The 22,691-nt window shown below is 33.4% G+C and overlaps 1 long non-coding RNA gene across 1 annotated transcript in view; it reads right to left on the reverse strand.

Annotated features, from left to right (window-relative positions):
* The window catches only part of LOC105377865 (uncharacterized), a 374,941-nt gene extending 365,891 nt beyond the window's left edge, over positions 1-9,050 (reverse strand). The window contains exon 1 of the long non-coding RNA XR_002956359.2: positions 8,917-9,050. This is a non-coding gene — a long non-coding RNA (uncharacterized LOC105377865). The remainder of the gene's footprint in view (positions 1-8,916) is intronic.
* Positions 9,051-22,691: the final 13,641 nt, after the last annotated feature.

Here is a 22,691-nt window from a genome sequence, read left to right on the forward strand (position 1 = left end):
ATGTGAACAATCTAGCATAGGTTTCTGAAGGGAACCTGGCGCTATGGTAGAAAATGATCAGAACTGTATTGATTTACATATGTTTCTTACTCTTATAGGCATATAGGAGCCTTGCATGACCACACTTTAAACAAATATTTTCACAGTATTTATTATTGATAGCATACATGCATTAAATTGTTTTTTATAAACTCTAATAATTAACTTCATAAACCGTCTTAAATAAATGTTTTTCTTATTTGTATAATGACCTTAGTTTAAAATGTAACCTTTCAGATATTTTCAGAATTACGTACATAAAGAGGGTGAACCTATCTTAGAAATACAATAGTTTCCGCTTTCCAGAACAATAAGACTAATGAAAAACCGCTTTAAATAATGTTGCTTGAGGGATGGTTTCTCTCTAAACACCAGAATGTGTAGAAAATGTTTACACGGCAAAATAAATAACCTGTTAAGAGGCTTAAAATTTTAGTTAGAACAATAATATACACAGTCAACATAAAAGCCTTGTTTACATGGTTGTTTGGGAATATTTTAAAACAAAAACAGTTTGCTTCATATTCAGATCTCCCATGGCTCCCAAAGAAGACTTTAGTTAGAGAAAAAGAGTTGTTTAAATAAAGAGAATTCATTTATTTCTGTTATAGTGTAATAATAATAACTAGTCATTTATAGTTATTCATACATTTGTATAATTTGAACAAAAGCCATCAGCCTGAGGCTTTCTTTCTCATTTCTGCAAATAAAGATATAGAGTGTTTGAGGAATTCATGTAGTTTGCAAATATTTGCTTTTGGAGACAAATGATGATAATTAAATAAAATGCTGTGTGTTTTGTTGAATGAGCAATGTAATAACATTTAGGCATGTAAACTTAAAGAATAAAGCTTTCCATTTTGAAAAGATCTTATTTTGCATATTTAATGAAAGTCTTGATTATTTGTTATATACTGTCATCAGTTTGTATTCAAGTAAAGGTAATTAATCATACTTCTTAACTAAAAAATTATTAACAACTGTTATGCATGGTATACCTGACCATATCTCTCATAAATAAATATACAGGTAGGATAATGAGGTTCAAAATATAGTGTAACATACAATTTGGCTTCATAGAACATAAAACATACCATTGGATGTTGATGGGTATGTTTCTATATGCATCAATTTTCATTCTAGAGAAAAGATCATAGGCTTACTCTTTAGATATACCTGAAGTTGCATATAAGAATAATCAAGTGAATTTGCGATGTGAATTTAGATAATTTATACAGGCTATTAAAGGCTGTTGTGTTCTATCTGTAAAGGTATAAAATGCAATACATCTTAATTCATTATTGTAAAGACTAAATAACTAATTCTCATTCCTCACTTCTCTTTTTTATTTATGCCTTCTATTCATCTTTCAGCATGTTCTCCTCCTCTTCACTGCTCTTTCACATTCCCATTAACTATTGCATATTATTCTCCATATTTTTGTAGCAGAACCTAAAATATCTTTAACCAAAAAATAATCTTATTTCCCTTTTATTGTTGAGCACTCCGCTTAACTACAATTCTGAGCCTCCCTTTGCATTATGTGCAGGCTTTTAACTGAGTTGGGGTCAATGAACAGTGTCTAGGAGTAAAAAATGGTACTTCCTGATCTGTCTCATATAAGGCTTGATGTCATTCATCTTGTCTTTCCCCACTCACTAAATGTAGAAGACTCAGGGACATGGAAAAGGGTAAAGCCACTGTCATAAGGTAAAAGTCACCTGAGTCCCTAAACATCTTGTGAATATTGGCATTTAATTGTTATGTAACTAAACAAAGTTTTTTTTGTATAAAGCTACTGAGATTGAGATATTTTATAGGAGTTTATGTCACTTTAATTCATGTAGAATTGGTATCTTGAAGTGAATGTTGTGAAAATATAAGCATAGACTTAGCTGTGAGGTGACTGGTGGAAGAATAAACTACTATGGGAAGCAGAAAATCTGCAGAGCCATACAACGTTGTGATAAAACATTTGACAGAAATGTCACCTGCATTATATGGACACCATGTGCCTGTAGCTCTAGAAGAGGTTGGAAAACAAGATATGAGTTTTTAGTGGTGATTTTTAAAACTGGCCTTCCTTAGTATGCTATATATGCTTCGCATGTATGCTATGCCTACAGAAGGAAGAGATAATCTCCAGCAAAGAGTGAACAATGTGCAAATAAAAAAAAATGAAATGACAGAGAGAGTCCAGAAATCTGAAATATTGGATTATGGAAACACCAACAGTTTTAGACCTTAAAGAGTATGACTAAGAAAGGTTTTAAATAATGCAATCACATCAAGACTCAGCAAAATTGAATAGCAACTTCACTAGTGGGAAACAGGAATGAAAGGAAGAAGGAAGAGATGATGACAAAAGTAGAAAACAAATAACAAAATGGCAGAAGTAAGTCATTACTGATCAATAATAACATTGAATATAAATGTGCTAAACTCTTCAATCAAAAAACATACACTGGCTGAATGAATGGGAAAATAAGACTCATTGATCTGTTGCCTACAAGAAACACATGTCACCTATAAAGACACACATAGACTGAAAGGAAAGGGATGAAAAAGCATATTTCATGCCAATGTAAACCAAAAAGGAGCAAGAGTTGTGATACTTATATCAGGCAAAATAGATTTCAAGACTAAAACTGCAAGAGACAAAGAGGGTCACTATATAATGATAAAGGGATGAATTCAGCAAAAGGAGATACCAGTTTTAAATATATATGTACCCCAACATTTGGAGAATTGAGATATATAAAGCAAATATTATAGCTAAAGAGAGAGATAGACCTCAATACAATAATAGCTGGAGACTTCAACACCCCACTTTCAGCATTGGACAGATCTACTGAACAGAAAATCAACAAGGAAATATCAGGCATAATTTGTACTAGAGACCAAATGGATCTAATAGATATTTAAAGAACATTTCATCCAATGGTTGCAGAATACACATTTTTCTCCTCAGCATATTGATTATTCTCAAGGATAGGCCATGTGTTAGGTCACAAAACAACTCTTAAATATTTCAAAACAAATTGAAATAATATCAAGCACATTTTCTGACCACAAAGGAATAAAACTAGATAATAACAAGAGGAATTTGAAAACTACATGAATACATGAAAAGTAAAAATTGTGCCCCTGAATAACCAGTGGATCAATGAAGAAATTAAGAGAAAAATTAGAAGATTTCTTGAGACAAATGATAATGAAAACACAACATACGAAAACCTATGGGACACAGCAAAAGCAGTACTAAGATGAAAGCTGATAGCTCTAAATGCCTACATCAAAAAAGAGAAAAAACTTCAAATATACAATCTAATGACGCATCTTAAAGAACTAGAAAAGCAAGAGCAAATCAAACCCAAAACTGGCTGAAGAAAATAAATAATAAAAAATAGAGAAGAAATAAGTGAAACTGAAATAAAAAATAGAACAAAAGTCAACAAAACAAAAAGTAGTCTTTTTAAAAAGTTAAAGTAAGTGGACAAATATTTAGCCAGACTAATAGAAAAAGAGAGAAGATGCAAGTAAGATTAGAAGTGAAAATGGAGACATTACAACTGGTATTTCAGAAATTTAAAGGATCATTAGCAGCTACTATGAGCAACTACATACCAACAAATTGGAAAATCTAGATACAATAAATGAATTCCTAGACACATACAATCTACCAAGATTGAATAATGAAGAAATCCAAAATCTGAACAGACTAGTAATAAATAACAAGATCAAAGCCATAACAAAAAGTCTCCCAGTAAACAAAAGCCCAAGACCTGATGGCTTCACTGCTGAATTCTGCCAAACATGTAAAGAAGAAATAATATCAATCCTACTCAAACTATTCTAGAAAATAAAGGAGGAGAGAATACTTCCAAACTCATTCTTCGAGGCCAATATTCCCCTAATGCCAAAACTGGACAACAACACATTAATAAAAAATAAAACCTATAGGTCAGTATCTCTTATAAATATTGATGCAAAGATCTTCAACAAAATACTAGAAACCCAAATTCAACAATACATTAGAAAGATCATCCTTCATGACCAAGTAGTATTTATCTCTGGGATGCAAGTATGATTCAACATATGCAAGTCAATCAATGTAATACATCAATAGAATGAAGGATAAAAAGCATCTGATCATTTCAATTAGTACTGAAAAAACATTTTATAAAATTCAATATCCCTTTATGTTAAGACCCTCAAAAAACTGGGAATAGAAAGAACATACCTCAACATAATAAAAGCAACATATGACAGACACACATCTAGTGTCATACGGAATGGGGAAAAACTGAAATCCTTTCCTATAGGATCTAGAACATGACAAGGATGCCCACTGTCACCAGTGTTATTTAACAAAGTACTGGAAGTCTTTGCTAGAGTGATCAAACAAGAGAAAGATATAAAAGGCATCCGAATTGAATTGAAAGAAGTCAAATTTTTCTTATTTGCTTAGGATACAGTCTTACATTTGGAAAAACCTAAGGACTCCAGAAGAACACTACTAGAACTGATCAACAAATTCAGTAGAGTTACAGGAAACAAAACCAACATACAAAAATCAGTAGCATTTCCATATACTAACAGTGAAAAATAAAAAAAATTAAAAATAGTCCCATTATACTGACCAAAAATAAAATTAAATGCCTACGAATTAATTTAACCAAAGAAGTAAAAGATCTTTACAATTAAAACTATAAGACACTAATAAATGTAACTGAAGAGGAAACCAAAAAATGGAAAAATATTTCATGTTCATTGATTGGAAGAATCAATATTGTTAAAATGTCCATACTACTGAACCAACATATAGGTTTAATGCTCAAAATACCAATGGTATTCTTCATAGAAATAGAAAATACAATTAGAAAATTTATATGGAACCACAAAAGACCCACTACCCTAAGCAAATAGAACAAAACTGAGGGAATCACATTACCTGACTTCAAAAATTTTGCTACACAACTATAGTAACAAAAATAGCATGGTACTGGCATAAAAAGAGACACATAGACCAAAGGATGAATGTTGAGAGCCCAGAAATAAATCTACACACCAACGGTGAACTCATTTTCAATAAAGGTACCAAGAACATACACTGGAGGGAAGACAGTCTCTTCAATAAATGGTGCTGGGAAAACTGGATATCTATATGCAGAAGAATGAAACTAGATCCTTCCCTCTCAACATATAAATTAACTCAAAATGGATTAAGGACTTAAATCTAAGGCCCCAAACTATGACATTGGAAAAATCTTCAGAACATTGGTCTGGGCAATTTGTAGTGCACTGGGAGTGTCATAATACCTTGTTTTTTCATATTTCCTGTATTATTATGCTGATTTTTTGCATCTGGAGAAATAGTTGCTTCTATTTATTTTTGAATTTATTTTGTTGGGGTGGGGCTTTTTCCCCCTGAGAATACAACAATGATGTATTTTGAATAGGGCCGTATGGCTTTGCTTCTGAGTACATTCATTGTTAAAGACTGCTTAAGTTTTTTGGTTATAAATAGCCTTAATATAGTGGCTTCCTCAAATGCTGGTAGTAGTAGCAAGAGAGCTTGTGCACAGCAACCAAAATAACAGAGTAAACAACAACCTACAGAGTGGAAAAAAGTATTTACAAACTATGCACATGACAGAAGACTAATATCCAAAATTTACAAGGAACTCAAACAACTCAACAGCAATAACAAAATAATCCCATTATAAAGTGAGCAAGTGACATGAATAGACATTTTTCAAAAGAAGACATACAAATGGCCAACAAGCATATAAACAAACATTCAACATCATTTCTCTTATCATTAGAGATACGCAAATTTAAACCACAATGAGATATAATTTTACCCTAGTCAGAAAGACTATTATTAAAAAGTAAAAAAATAATAGATGTTTGTGAGGATGTGAAGGCAAAAGAATGCTTAGTAAATTAATACAACCTGTTTGGAGAACAGAATGGAGATTTCTCAAAGAACTAAAAATAGAAGTACCATTTGATCCGGCAATCCCACTACTGGGTATCTACCCAAAGGAAAAGAAAATATTATATCAAAAATACACCTGCATTTGTATGTTCATTGCAGCACTATTCACAATAGCAAAAATATGGAATCAATCTCTATCCATTGATAGATGAATGAATAAATAAAATGGCGTGTATATAGATAAAATGCTATGTGTAGATACACACATGCACACATACATGTATGTGTATATATGTACATATATACACATATGCAAACATATATATAACATGGAATACTATTCAGCCATAAAAAAAGAATGAAATAAATGAAATCATGTATTTTGCAGCAACATAGATGAAACTGGGGACATTATCTTAAGCGGAACAACTCAGAAACAGAAAATCAAATAATGCATGTTCTCATTTACAAGCAGAAGCTAAATAATGTGTATATACGGACATGAAGTGTGTAAAAAGAGACACTGGAGACTCAGAAGGGTGGTGAAGGATGAGAAATTACTTAATGGGAAAAAATGTACATTATTTGGTTAATGGTTACACTAAAAGCCCAGACGTCACTATTACACATTATATCCATGTAAATAAACTGCAGTGTACCACTTAAATTTCTACAAAATAAAATTAGGAATCTTTGTTTATAACAGAATGAAAAAAATAAGCCACTGATTGGGAAAAGCTATTTGCAATGCACATACAGTAAGAGGCTTTTAATAGACTAAATAATAAACCTTCACAAATATATAAAAAACAGAAAATTCAATAGATAAATGGGCAAAAGCTCACAGATTCTTCAAAATTAAATAATACTAAAATGACAAATAAACATATATAGATTCTCCACTTCATTATTATTCAGAGAAATGCAAATTATAACCATAGTGACCTATCATTATAGAACTGTTAAGTTTAAAAAGACTAATAATGGAACAGCTGGTGAAAATGTAGACCAAGAGAAACTTATGGATACTTCAAGACATCGTGTTGTATATGATAAATACATACAATATTATGTGTCAAATTTAAAAATTAAAAATTAAAAAATACCATCTGAGGGATGTGAGATATTGAATTCTTAATACAATTTAAATTTTCTTAATGTTGATTCAGATTATAATGATGAAGATAATTTTAACAGTGATTTGGTGAATGATAAAAAATAGCTAGCTGTTTTACAAACGGACTACTTAAATGATGCTATAATGTAAAAGCAAATTACACAAAGTGAGATTTAATTAAGGAGGATATAATAATACCTCACATTTTTTGATTTTTTAAAATAGAATTGTGTTTAGCAGTTGAATTGTCTTATTTAATATTCATAAAAGCCTGGGCACCAGACACTATCATCAAACATAATTTAGAAATAAGAAAACCCACCAGGCGCGGTGGCTCACACCTGTAATCCCAGCACTTTGGGAGGCCAAGGCAGGTGGATCACAAGATCAGGAGATCGAGACCATCCTGGCTAACATGGTGAAACCCGTTTCTCCTAAAAATACAAAAAATTAGCCAGGCGTGGTGGTGCGCGCCTGTAATCCCAGCTACTCGAGAGGCTGAGGCAGGAGAATCGTTTGTACCTGGGAGGAGGAGGTTGCAGTGAGCTGAGATCGTGCCACTGCACTTCAGGTTGGGCAGCAAGAGTGAAACTCCGCCAACCCATCCCAAAAAAAGAAATAAGGAAATCAAGTATTACAGAGCACAAGCAACTTTTCCTAATGTTAGGTCTAGGATTTGGAAGTAAGCAGTGTCATCCAGAATTTGTGTTCTTGCTATATAGAGGAAGTCAAAACAATTACCTAAACAAAAACTGATATTCAAGATTTTCAAATTAGGCAAAGTTTTAGTAACTTGTATTGATAAAGAAAAACTGCCTAGAATATCAATAAAGATTTATGAATTTTCAGGATTAAAAGGAACCTAAGATGCCATTCTCTAGCTGAACACTATTTCATCTTCCTTTGGACATCATTGATAATTGGCTCTTCATTCATGTGAGGCTCCACACATTAGAAAAATATTCCTTTAGTAGAGCTGAAATTTGTGTTATGTTTTGGTTTGTTTTAGCTTCCAATGACTGACCCTAACTCTGTCCCTGATTAATTTGCAGTCTAATTTATATTATACTGGGTCGTTCTGAAACAATTAGATAAACCTATCAAGTCATACATAATTTCTTCTCTAAATATTTCCTGTTGTTTCATTTTTTTTTCCACATGGAATGATTCCTGATACCTTTCCTCAGGGTATGCTCATTTGTCAACATCCCTTATTGATAAAATTGGAAAATTTCTTAGGATAATTGCATATATAAAGAGATAACTTATGTCCAATATCTGGGACATGATAAAATCTCTCAAATTTCCTTAAGAATTCAAAGCTGTGATAGTCTCATTTGTGTGTGGAGTAGTCCCCTCTTGAAAATTACAAACTTTATTTGTTTTTAATTTATGAATGTTTCTTTATTTTTCCTTTGGGACAAAGAAAGAAAAAAGTATGCATGAGCACTATCTTTTTCAATATAAGATTATTTATTTAGGTTATATTTCTATGAATGGAATTGATGGATAAGAAATCGTCTTTTTGGATAGAGACTAAGTTGCTGTAATGAAGAAAATCCCAAAATACAATCAATGGCTTAAATATGATAGAAGTTCATTTCTCCATCAGGAAACAGTATAATTAACAGGGTAACCCTGCCTCATGAGAACTTCTAGGGAGGGTGGTTTTCTCCATCTTGTTCTCTATCAACTAATAAGACATTGCCCTTATCTTCATGACCAAAATTATATCATTGCAAAATCTGCTTTCCAGTCTAAAGAAAGCATCAGTCCAGAACAAGAGATTTCACTTTTATTATAAATTGTAACTGACCTGGAAGCTGCACACGTAAATTTTGTTCTCATTCCCTTGAAGAGAATGGATTCAAACAAGACAGGTTGGTTGTAAGGAGGCTGAGGAGTGTGGTCTCCAGCTGTGAAGCCATATGCATTGCTTCAGCTCTTTTCCTGTGAAAAGAGAACAAATCAAAATTTAGTGTGTCAACCATCTCTCCTACAGAGACTACATTCTTTTGTTTCCATGAATCTCGAAATAATTTTCAAGATTCTTTACAAATGATTATTATCTTTAAAATATTAGTAACCATATTAATCTGTAGTGTAAAAATCAAATTTTTAAGACAAGAAATTAATAATAAAATCAATATCGTGTGGTAAGAAATATAATTGACTCATTAAGTAAACATCTCAAGTTACAGAAACAGAAGGGTGTGAGCATATTAGAAATGTGTATGTTGACCACAAGCATTTGTGCTGTCACAGGCTTTAGTGAGTATAATTTACTTAAAGACTAGAGAGCAAAATTTATCTTGCAGGTTTTTTCAATGTGGTCAGTTAAGGCAGCTTCTCTTGTACCAACTTCTCTGTGGTACATCATATGTTGCTCTGAACACCACATTCTCAAACATCTGCTTAAAGCTGTCCTCTAGTAATTTAGAGCTCACTCTAAATAGTCACATTATATTAAAATAAGTAATTCACATTTCTCATGTATGCTGGTAATTTTTCTAGTAAATATTGCTTATATTGAAGAATCATTTACTAATCTTTTTGCTGTTACATGAAAAAGTGTTTGCACAAACAAGGTAAATAAGTGGAAACCAAAATTTGCATGTTTAGTGATTTCAGAGGATATCAAAATAAATAATAATGCATATTGATAAGGTAACCAAAATCATTCGGCATTCCTTCAATTCCAATCATAGACAAAGAAAGCTTATGCTATTCATTTGTGACATTCTGGATTCTCTCCACCTTTCATGTGCCTATTCATTTTTAAGTTTTGCTCCAGGATAGCCCTATTGAACTGTACAATTTCTGAGGAAAGAAAGCAATACATGCAGCATTTCAAATATATCCTTGCTGTTAAACCCGAGATGGCTAGTTCGCAACTACTCACTGGAACCTGACCTAGGAGAGTTCTGTACAGCATGCAGCCAATGGGAAGGAAAAGTCTCCACCCTCCAGGACCTTAAGCTTTAGTTAGTGAAGATAAAATATACTCTAAGAAGCAACTATTTACCAAGTCTAAATCTTAAAGTAAGCCCTGAATCATTCATATTTTAGTCCCACATCCAGTTAATCACGAAGTCTTATATTCTAACTTCTCATCTTCACAGCCACTAGTTTATAATATTTCCAACAGTGCTGTCATTCGTCCCACCAGCTCTGGTCTTATCTCACTGTAATACTCCCTTGCAGAGATTTCTTTCACTGTGCACCTTAACTTTGAAAGGTATAGATAAAAAAAATAAATTATTACATACGAGTAACAGAAAACAACTTAGATAATGAGTCAGTCCACATGCACATAACCCATCTCTGAATTAGTCAATATAATATGCTCAATTACCCACTTTCTCCACATTCTTATGTGGCATACTTACTCTATGCTCTTCAAAAAAGATTTATATTTTCAGGGTTGAAATATGATTATGTCATCTCCATTCTCAGTTAGAATATTTTAAATATACCCTCAAAATTCCTAGGTAAGTCCAAATTCCCTTATATGGTTCTTGAAGTTCTGGAAGTGGTGTTACCTTGCTCTCTGGATTTAGCTGTAGTTATTACTCTCCATGTGTGCTAAAGTATGCCATTTAAAACTATTTGTAGTTATCTAACTTTATATTCTTTCTTGCCTTGGGGCTTTGGCACATGCTGTTTCTTGCCTAAATGTACCCACCCCTTTCATGTTGCTTGTAAATTCCTCCTTGTCTTCCATGACCCTAGTCTAAGAACTAAAGTATCTTTCTTAAATGCTCCCATAAAACCATGTACTCATCTTATCATAACACTGATAGTACTCTGTTGACATTGTCAACTCCCTGTTTCAGATGTCTATGAAACCTCAACTCCCTGATTACAGAGACTATATTTTTCTCCTTTCTATACTGAGTGGCTAGTACAGTATCTCATGCATAGAAAATATACGATAATTATTTGTTAAATTGAAATTCACAATTTGTGGCATAGATTAGATGCATTTGTGCCTAACTAAAAAAAGGAGGAGGTTTCTCTTTACTAGGCATTATGCTGGATATTAATGATTTCAAAGTTAATGTGCTAAAATTCCTGTCATTCCAGAACACATCTTAGTTTGTTAATTTCTTTCTCTTCCTTTTTTTTTTTTATAAGTGGTCACATTTGTTATTATTTTTTAGAAAATACTTGGGATAACCCCAAATTTGAATCCATATCTGCATTGCAAATATGGGGTAGAGTTAACTGGGGAAAACTTGAATTTTCTCTTGAAACAAAATTCTTATGTATCTAGTATAAATAAATTGGGCTGACCTACCAAAAAGAATACATAGCATGGAAGGGAATCAATAAACAATTGTTTGAAATAAAAATGACTGAGTAGATTTGCTGGAATAAAGATAATCCAAGGGCCAGGTAAAAGATATGAAGTCTATGGATTATAAGTGGGATCTGAGTCATAAAAAGAGATTTGGAGAACTGAAGATGTTGAGTGACTGAGTTTTGATCAAGTATATAATGGGTTATCCAAGTAGATAAGCATATAATAGATAATTTTTCTACAAGATTTATAATGAGCAATTTTAAAACATCTGGGCTAGAGAAATATAAATTGAGAAGGTTGAAATTATAGTGAAATTTTGAAAATACATTAGAACATCTCCAACAATGATAGAACATTTCAGAGTCTAATAATTTCAGTCCTTAAAATTTTGGTTAAATGTTCAAGCTGGGATGAATAATTTGGCCTTTATAGTCTCGTTTAAAAGCTTCAGGAGCTGCGGTGGCTCAGGCCAGTTGTCCTGGAGCATAAGGAGGCGAGGCTACACATTCAAGGCCAACCTGGGCAACATAAAAACCTCTCATCCATTAAAAGCTTCAAAAATTGCCACAATCTAGAACACTGTAAGATTGTTATATTTTCTGCATGAGAGAATTTTAAAATATTATTTCTGAAATATTGTCTTTATATATTTGAGAGTGATCTAAAGAGTTAATAACCTCCAAATCTGCATCCTCACTGAAGATAAAATAAAATGAAATGTGCCTTTACTGAAGCAGAGGAGATTCGGGAAAAATTCAATCAAAACCTTCCCAAGTTAGGGATTTCTACTCACATTTACTTAGAACTTCAAGGAGGAAAGTTTTTGAAAATGATATAGGCCTTCCAATATATAGTTGGAACCTTTTTATGATTCTATTATTTAAAAAAATTTGCTATTTTAAAAAATGTTTGTGGGAACATACTAGATGTATATATTTATGAGGTACATGAGATATTTTTATACAGGCATGTAATGTGAAATAAGCACATCATGGAGAATGGGGTACCCATCCCCTCATGCTTTTATCCTTTGAGTTACAAACAATCTAATTACATTCTTTAAGTTATTTAAAAATATACAATTAAGTTATTGTCACTGTAGTTTTTTGAGAAGCCTCCAAACTGCTGTCCATAGTGGTTGTACTAAGTTACATTTTCACCAGCAGTGTACAAGAGTTATCTTTTCTCCACAACCTTGCAAGCATTTGTTACGGCCTGGCTTTTGGATACAAATCATTTTAACTGGGGTGAGATGATATCTCATTGGAGTTTTGATTTGCATTTCTCTGATGATTAATAATGTTGAACACCTTTTGATACTCTTGTTTGCCATTTCTATTTCTTCTTTTGAGAAATGTCTATGCAAATCTTTTGCATAATTTTTTATTAGATTATTAGATTTTTTCCTATAGGCTTATTTGAGCTCCTTATATATTCCGGTTATTCATCCTTGTCAGATGGGTAGTTTTCAAACATGTTCTCACGTTCTGTGGGGTGTCTCTTCACTTTGTTGATTGTATTCTTTGCTATTAAGAAGCTTTTTAAATCGATGTGATTCCATTTGTCCATTTTTGCTTTGGTTGCCTATGCTTGTAGGGTATTGCTCAAGAAATTTTTTCCCAGACCAATGGCTTGGAGTTTCCCCAAGGTTTTCTGGTAGTAGTTTCATAGTTCGAGGTCTTGGATTTAAGTCTTTAGTTCATCTTTATTTGATTTTTGTGTATGGTGAGAGCCAAATATCTAGTTTCATTCTTTTGCATATAGATATCCAGTTTTCCCAGCATCATTTATTGAAGTCTTTTGCCCCATTGTATGTTTCTGACATCCTTGTCAAAAGTGAGTTTACTGTGGGGGTGTGGATTTGATTTTGTGTTCTCTATTCTTTTCCATTGGTCTATGTGTCTGTTTTTATGCCAGTACCATGCTATTCTTGTTACTAAAGTTGTGTAGTAAAATTTGAAATCAGGTAATGTGATTCCTACAGTTTTGTTCTATTTGCTTAAAGTAGCTTTGGTTATTCTGGGTCTTTTGTGGTTCCATATAAATTTTAGGATTGTTTTTTCTATTTCTATGAAGAATGTCATTGTTATTTTGATAGGGATTGCATTAAACCTATATATTGCTTTGAGTAGTATGAATATTTTAACAATATTGATTCTATCAATCCATGAACATGAAATATTTTTCCATTATTTTGTTTCCTGTTCAATTTCTTTCATTAGTGTTGTATAGTTTTCATTATAAAATTATTTCACTACTTTGGTTAAATTAATTCCTAGGTATTTAATTTTATTTCTGGCTATTATAAATGGGACTATGTTTTTATACTTCATGCTGTTGATATGATAGATCATGTTGATTGATTTGTGTATGTTGAACCATCCTTGCATCACAGGGATAAATACCACTTGGTCACGATGAATGATCTTTCTAATGTATTGCTGAATTTGGCTTACTAGTATTTTGTTGAGCATTTTTGCATCAATATTTATCAGAGGTAGTTTTCTTTTTTTGATACAGTTTTGCCAGGTTTTGGTATCAGGGTAATAACGTTCCTCGGAGAATGAATTTGGGAGCACTCTCTCCTCTTCTATTTTTTGGAATGGTTTGAGTAGAATTTATATTAGTTCTTCAAATGTTTGGTAGAATTCAGCAGAATTCAGATGAAGCCATCTGGTCCTAGGCTTTTCTTTATGGGGAGGGATTTTATTATGGCTTAGATCTCATTACTTGTCATCAGTCTGTTCAGGGTTTGGATTTCTTCCTGTTTCAATCTTGGTAGGTTGTGTATGTCTAGGAATTCATTTATTTCTTCTAGATTTTCCAGCTTATTGGTATATAGGTGCTCATAGTAGCCACTAATGATCCTTTTAATTTCTGCAGTATCAGTAGTGATGTCTCCATTTTCATTTCTGATTTTATTAATTTGTATCTTCTCTCTTTTTTCTTAGTCTGGCTAAAGATTTGTCAATTTAATTTAACTTTTCAAATAACCTACTTTTTGTTTAATTGACTTTGGAATTTTTTTTCAATTCTATTTATTTCTGCTACAATATTTATCATTTATTTTCTTCTACTAATTTTGGGTTTGATTTGCTCTTGCTTTTCTAATTCTTTAAGATGCATTGTTAGACTATATATTTGAGGTTTTTTTCTCTTTGTTGATGTAGGCACTTAATAGCTATCGGACTTCCATCTTAGCATCGCTTTTGCTGTATCCCAGAGGTTTTGGTATGTTGTGTTCCATCATAATTTGTTTTAAGAAATATTTCAATTTTCTTCTTAGTTTCTTCACTGACCCACTGGTCATTCAGGAGCATATTATTTAATTTTTGTATATTTGTATAGTTTTCAAAATTCATGTTGTTATTAATTTCTAGTTTTATTCCATTGTGGTCAGAGAAGATACTTAATATCATTTCAGTTTTTTGAATGTTTTAATCCTTTTTTTTGTGAACATATTGTTTATACTTGAGAATAATCCAGGTGCTGAGAAGAATGTGTATTCTGCAGCTCTTGGATGCAATGTTCTGTAAATATCTATTAGATTCATTTGGTCTATAGTGAAGATTACATCTGATGTTTCTTTGTTGATTTTCTGTCTGGAAGATCTGTCCAAGATGCTGAAAATAGGGTGTGAAGTCTCCAGCTATTATTGTATTGGGGCCTATCTCCTTCTTTAGCTCTGATAATATTTGCTTTATACATCTGAATGCTCCAGTGTTGAGCACTTATATATTTAAAACTGTTATATCCTCTTGATAAATTGATTTCTTATCATTACATAGTTACCTTCTTTGTTCTCTTACAGCTTTTGTCTTGAAATTTATTTTGTCTGATGTAAGTACAGCAACTTCTGCTTTTTTGTTTTCCATTGGCATGGAATATCTTTTTCCATCTCTTTATTTTCTATGTATGTATTTGTAGGTGAAATGTGTTTCTTATAGACAGATTAATGAGACTTGTTTTTTCATCCATTCAGTTACTCTATATCTTTTGATTGGAGATTTTAGTCCAACTACCTCAATGTTATTACTGAAAAGTAAGGACTTACTCCTGCCATTTTATTATTCTTTTTCTGGTTGTTCTGTGGTCCTCTCTTCTTTCTCTCTTTCCTGTCTTCCTCTAGTGAAGGTGATTTCCTTTTTGTACTTGGATATTGATATATTTCTGTAGGTTTCAGAAGTTGCCTGTTATTATTCCTTTGAATAAATTTGCTCCCTCTATTTATTTATCTACCTCTTCTTTAAGGCCAATAATTCTTAGATTTTCCCTTATGAAACTATTTTCTAAATCCTGTAGGCATGCTTCATTTTGTTATTCTTTTTTCTTTTGCCTTTTCTGACTAGGTATTTTCAAATAGCCTGTCTTCAAGCTCACTAGTTCTTGCTTCTGCTTAATTCTGCTGTTAAAGGAACTTGATGCATTCTTCATTATGCCAACTGCATTTTTTAACTCCAGAATTTCTGCTTGATTCTCTTTAATTATTTTAATCTGTTTGTCTGATAGAATTTTGAATTTCATCTCTGTGTTATCATGAATTTTCTTTGAGTTTCCTCAACCTACCTATTTTGAATTCTCTGTCTGAAAGATCACATATCTCTGTTTCTCCAGGATTTGTCCCTGGAAACTTATTTAGTGTTCATTTGGTGAGATTAAGTTTTCCTGGATGGTGTTGATGCTAGCAGATGTTCTTCAGTGTCTGGGCATTGAAGGATTAGGTATTTATTGTAGTCTTCACTGTCTGGGCTTATTTGTACTCATCCTTCTTGGGAAGGTTTTCCAGATATTTGAAAGGACTTGGGTGTTGTGATCTAAGCTGTATCTGCTTTAGGGGGGAACCCACATCCAGTAACTCTGTGGTTCTTGCAGACTCATAAAGGCAACCCCTTGATGGTCTTGAATGAGATCTGAGAGAATTCTCTGGATTACCAGGCAAAGACTCTTGCCTTCTTCCTTTCTTCCAAATATATGGAGTCCCTGCCTCTGCTCTAGCCACCTAATGCTGAGGACTGGAGTGACACAAGCCCCCTTGTGGCCATCATTAATGTAATTTCACTGGGCCAGATCTGAAGCTAGCACAGCACTGAGTCTGGCTGAAGGCTTGCTGTAGCCACTCCCTGATTACTGCCTATGTTTCCTGAAAGCACTTGGGCTCTCTAATCAGCTGGTGGAAAAACCAACCAGGCTTATGTCCTTCCATTCAGGGTAGCAAGGTCCCCCAGACCCCCAGTGGGTCCAGAGGTATCATCCTGGAGTCTGCCCTTTTTTAAATTAAAAATAAGCAATCAAGAACAGCAACAACAAAAAATTGCCAGAGTAAACATCATCTTTATCTTAAGCAATGTCAGAGTGGAACTTAAAACTTAGAAACTGGAACTTAGAATGCCTTATTGAAAGAAGAACACACATATGGACTTAAAATGGTACCAACAGAGAGAAGACCAGGAAAAAAAAATTAAGTTCATAAACTACTCTTTGCATTTTGCTTTTATTTAAGAATTATTCCTTGCTTCTTTCAATAAATTTTGATTGTGTGAGTTTTCAATTCTCCAGAAATTGAAAATAACATAATGTGCTCACTATTCATGATTGCATAATAAAACCACTTGGGTATTAAAAAAATAATAATTCCTTAGCTAGAGGTTACTGAATGACAATAGAAAAAAGAAGAAAGAATCTACATAAGTGGAGACAGTTCTCACTCTAAGCTGCTGAATATGCTTTCTGTTTAACTAAGTAAAAAGAAGTAATCAAAAAACAATTTCCACAATTTTTTATGACCATATTCACCTACCTGCCTCTGTATGTACATACTGTGTTCTCTCTCTTGTTCTGTAGATGAGCCATCCACATGGCAAGCAAAGGGCAGTCTCTCTACTATGTCCCAGATCTCATTCATTCTTGCCTAGACAAGAGCAATTTTTCTGGAACTCTCTCTTTTCTCTCTTGCATTCTTTTTTTTCTCATGAGCATATTAAAATGCTGCTATTTCACTCTCATTTGAAAGTAAATATAGACATACACGTATGTGTATGCATATATGTGTGCATGTGACTTCACCATACCCTCCAGTTACTGTCCCATTTTTTTCTTTATTTGTTTTACAGTAAACTTCTCAGAAGAGTTGGCTATATTCATTGATTTCAGTTTCTTTACACTTGAACCTGTTTCTATCAGGCCTTTGCCAACACTACTCCACTGACGTAGCTGTAGTTAAAGTCACCAGTGGCATACTCTTTGCTAAATCATGAGATTGATAGTCATTTAACCTATTTGGGCTATCGGCAGCATTTGCATAGCTGATCACTCCCTTCTCCTAGATACTTTCTTTGCTTGGCTTCTAGGACACAAATTCCTCTGCTTTCCTTCTCCTTCACTGGTCTCTTCTCATTCTTTTTCATTTATTCCTACTCATCTTTCATATCTTTTGGAGCTCAGCCCTTTGAGATTCATTCGTAAGTAAGAACAATCTATCTCACTGCTTTAATGTTCATCTAGATGCTCATAACTTCTAATTTGTATATTCAAGTGACTGCAGAACAGAGAAGTAATCTCAAAATATGCACCTCCAAACCCAAATGCCCGCTATTATTTACTACTTTGCTATAACCTTTTCTATTTCCACTCCTTATTCAATAAGAAGCAGCTCCTTTCCATAAGGCAGCTCCTTATTTTTGATTGTTTGGGCCACAGGCCTTGGAGTCACATTTACTCTACTTTTTCTCTCATCTGCTGTCTAATCTGTTAATAAATCCTCTAGGTTATGCCTTCAGAATATTTCCAGAACTTTTATCCTCTCACTGCTGCATTGTTGCCTCTGTTACTAAAATATGAGTTAGACCATGCCTCTGTGGTAATCAAAGCCTTCAGTGGTTTACTTTTAACCCAGAGAAAAAGTCGGCCATGAAAAACATGTACAATCTGCCTGCTCCTCCTCCTCCCACTCCCCACTCTTCACCTGTATGATTTCTCTTAATTTTCCTCCTATTTACACTTTCACCCAGAGTCTTTTCATTTTCTCTTCCATCTGTCTGAATGTTCTTCTTTCAGATATTTGTCTGTCATTCCCCATTTCCTGCAGATTTGAGTCTCCTTCCCTGACAGGCCTCCACTAACCACATAAAATTTCTACCTTCCAATTTCCTTTTCTCTTCCTCTTCTACACTTTTCTCCTTACCATTTACCACTATCTAACAAGCAATTTTAACTTTATTCACTTTACAAGGAGTTCTGACTGTTTTACCCACTGACATATCCCTAGCACTGAGCTTGTGGCACATTTTAGGTACACAATAAATATTTATTGCATATTGCCATATTAGAATTACTGATGAAGACCCAGGAGGCTGTCTTTAAAGGAAGGGATTTTTTAAAATGAAAATGTTAGAAAAGGTTTCGAAGAACAAGTTGCATTTGAATTGAGGTTAGATTAAATGATAGGTAATATTTGAGTGTGTGGATGAGGGAAAGGTACCTGTGGTGGTGATTACTGAGTGTGAAAAGCCAACGATCCTCGAAAATAAGACATCTACCAAGAACACCGTCTTTCAATTTGGGTGGAATTTGGAAGGCTTGAAAAGAAGATATGTTCAAGTTACTGGGAGGTAACTTGGGATGTATAAGATAAGCAGAAAGCCTATTTGGGTCACTGAGGTTAAGCAATGAATTTCTTCCCTTTCTTGAGCAAACAGGCAGATCCTTGATATGTTACATTTAGATATGTGCAGTAGCTTTAATATCTTCTTCCAGAATTCTTCCAGTGACAGTCTTTCTGCTTATCAAGCTGGCTAAGGGAAATCAAATCAACAAACCTCATTTCTTATTGAGGTGGGCCAGATACTTATTCATGCATATTTAGGGAATATAAATCTCAGTTCCAGAATGTTCGAACTATAGACTATTCTGCATAAGCCAGAACATAATTATAAACATGTAGAAAGAAACCACTTTACTCCAAAGGTGTATAATCTATACATATTTTAATAGAATTTCTCTTTTATACTTGGGACCTAAATTTGAGTTTAGAAAAAGCAATCAGTAAACTTACATAATGAGATTTAAGAGGAAATAGTCAAGCAGGAAATTCCTCTCCCGAGCAATAATTTTTCTACTTCTCAATCTGCACCTCTTTTTTTCCTGCCTGACTCAAAATAGCAAAATTCTAGCCTTAATTCTCCAGGACCCCTGAAGGCATTCTCTTCTAATACGGTGTTTTTTCCTTTTGGTTCATCTTCCATAGCTGTTTTGAGATCAGAGGCCTTGGCTTCCATCACCGCCTGGAACTGACTTCCCTCACCACTTTTAAAAATCAGAGATAAATAGTGAATTATAAAAATATGAGTAAAGTCAAAAGCAAACACTGGAAACATGATCAAATACAACAAGAACATCAAGTGAAGTACTTCAAATAGCACTTCAGGTCTGTATATGTGATTAGATGAGTTTATTTTTAGAATAATATATTCATTGACCGGGCATGTGTTGGCCTGTCACATGCTATAGATTATTAGACTGACAATAACCCCTATGACTTAAGGATATTATTAGTGTTAGCTTTCAATTCTACTTATATAATTATTAATGATTATTACTGTAATTATAAATAATTATTTATTGAGCACCTACTATATGTTAACCACTTAATATGAATTATCAGATGTAATCTTCACAACAGCCCTCTTAGTTAGGATATATTATAATTTCCATTTGACAAATGAAGGAAGTAAGGCAAAGTGATGTTAAGTTACCTGCCCAAGATCACAAAGCAAGAGGTGTCAGACCCAGAATTCGAAGGCCATCTGATCACTACAGCCTGATTTCAGAGTGTAGAGTTTTAACTATTCCACAATTCTGCTTACTTTCAGTAATATACAACTTCTTCAGTTATTAAGAAGTAAAAGTGAGAGCTAGCTTTAATCAGGTGCCTATACACCAGACACCTTGCATTATTTCCTTTAATCTTTGCAACAGTTCTACAAATTAGAATTTTATAGGTGAGAAAGAGGTTAATTTAGTTGCCCAAGGTCGTTCTCTCCAAAAATAAAGTTCTATTTTCCTTAAAAACATATTGGAAGATTGTCATGAGGTCAATAATGTTCAGCAGGCATACTTCTGCAAAATCATAAAACTCATCTTATTTACTTAGTAAAACCATGGCTAAATTAAGAAAGAGATAAATAAAGGTGCATTCCATTATTTTTCCCACTTTCAAGGTCCAGCTCAAATGCTGTATTTTCTAGGTCTAGTTCCTTCATTAAGCCTTCCTCAATTCCCTGATCCCCAAAACCAACTAATCTTATATTTCAATTCAATTAAGGAGAAGCAAGTCTAATGGATTGGGAACAGATGTGCATATTTTTAAACTGCTGTTGCTTACTGTGGAAGTCAGACCTATTAAACCCTCCATTTTAAAAACCTTTACCCTTTACATTCTGATTATTTTATGGTACATATTCTGCTTAGTAGTAGTGTTATTGTGTTGTTCTTATTCTGTCTTCCAAATGATAAGCAGATGATAAGCAAAGACTTTTATATTCATTCATTCTTATATCTTCTGTAGTGTTTAATACAGTGCCTAGCATACTGTATATGGTCAAAAATGGTTATAATATTGATGTCAGTGGATAATTCAATGATCCCACCTTTGATTAGCAATTTTTTAATTTAATAATCTTTAAATGCCTAGAATTAATAGCACCATTCTCTCAGCTTCTATACCCAGGATAATTTCTGGACACTTCTGATGACTTTCCCATGATCTCCGGAAATAATAAAAGATAAGCTTTACAGATGAGGTAACAGATTTGCAAAATATTAAATATGCCATTACCTGAAGAGGGCGTAAGTTGAGCCCTTTCCTTCATCTCTTTCTTGCTCACAGATATTACAATATCTGTGCAAAAATCCTAATGCAAGAATGAGCTTAGCATATTCCAGGGACTGTCATTAACTGAAATACATATATAACAAGGAGGAAAAGATACAATAAATGTGGAATTTATTCTAATTACAATGGAAAGCAAGTGGAGAGTTTTAAGTAATAAGTTTTATGCTTTAAATTTTTTTGGCTGCTGCATGGAAAAGTTCCTTGAAGGAGAAAATGTGAATAGAGAGTGGTGGGAATGGCAGAGGACTATTGCAAGAGTCCAGTTGGTTGCTGATGTTATCTTGGACTAGGGTTATCCGTGTGGAAATGGTAAGACAAGGTAATATTCAGACTTGCCAGTGTACTACCTGTGGGTGTGAATGACAAATGTGAGATTCAAACCCAGGTCTATATTGCACTAAAGTTTACAACATTTGCACACCTCTATATTCCCTCAATTGGGTATCTTGTTTACTTTTTAAAAAAAGACAATATAAAACTTATAAGCCTAGTTTTTCTTCAGGTTACTTTGTTGCTTTCTGATTTACCATTCTTATCGCCCTAAAATCTAAATGTAATTTTAGAGAATATAGTTATACATTGAAAATATAAGAGCATGCATGGGTACATGGAAATTAAGTATCTTGAGAGATTATATCTATTCTCAAATTTACCCTTGACAATGCAAGCAGTTACACCAAAGAGATGAACCAATTACTGTAAACAAGACAGAAAGCACGTAATCTTTATCTTTTTTCTTTGTATAAATAACTTGCAGCATTCCAGACGTCTCTCTCATTGCAAATTGATATAACCACAAAAGGATTTTGAGTATAATTTCAAGGAACATTTGTTTGCGATCATGCTTCCCACCTCCCACCAAAAATAATAATAAAGATCATGGCTAGAACTAACGCTCCAAGAGGTACTTTTAACCTTAAGGAAGTGTAGACTTTAAAATCTATTAGTGAGGCAAAACAAACTTTGTTTCAGCTAGTGCTAGAGAAATCAGACCCCTACCACTAGAGAACTATAATGCCCATTAAAAATAAAAATTAAACACAAATTGTGACATTAAAAAATATGAGTGCCTGGGTCTCATTTCCAAAGGTTCTAGTTCAACTGGTTTGAGATGAAACTCACGAAGCAGTATTTAAATTTTTTTCTCAGATGATTTTAATGTACAAATAAGATTGATGAGAACAGGGCTTGAGGAAAATAAATTATGTTGTCTTTTTTTTATAATATCTTAGGATGGGAATTCATCCTCATTTTCCAAGTTAAAATAACTGTCTTGCTCTGGCAAAACTCAGACAGAACTCATGGAAAATACAAAGTTTTCATCTGTGTGTGTGTGTGTGTGTGTGTGTGTGTGTGTGCATGCACCCAGAAACACACATGTAAGCACACATGTAGC

Source organism: Homo sapiens, chromosome 6 (assembly GCF_000001405.40).
Source record: "Homo sapiens chromosome 6, GRCh38.p14 Primary Assembly".
Taxonomy (NCBI): Eukaryota; Metazoa; Chordata; class Mammalia; order Primates; family Hominidae; genus Homo; species Homo sapiens.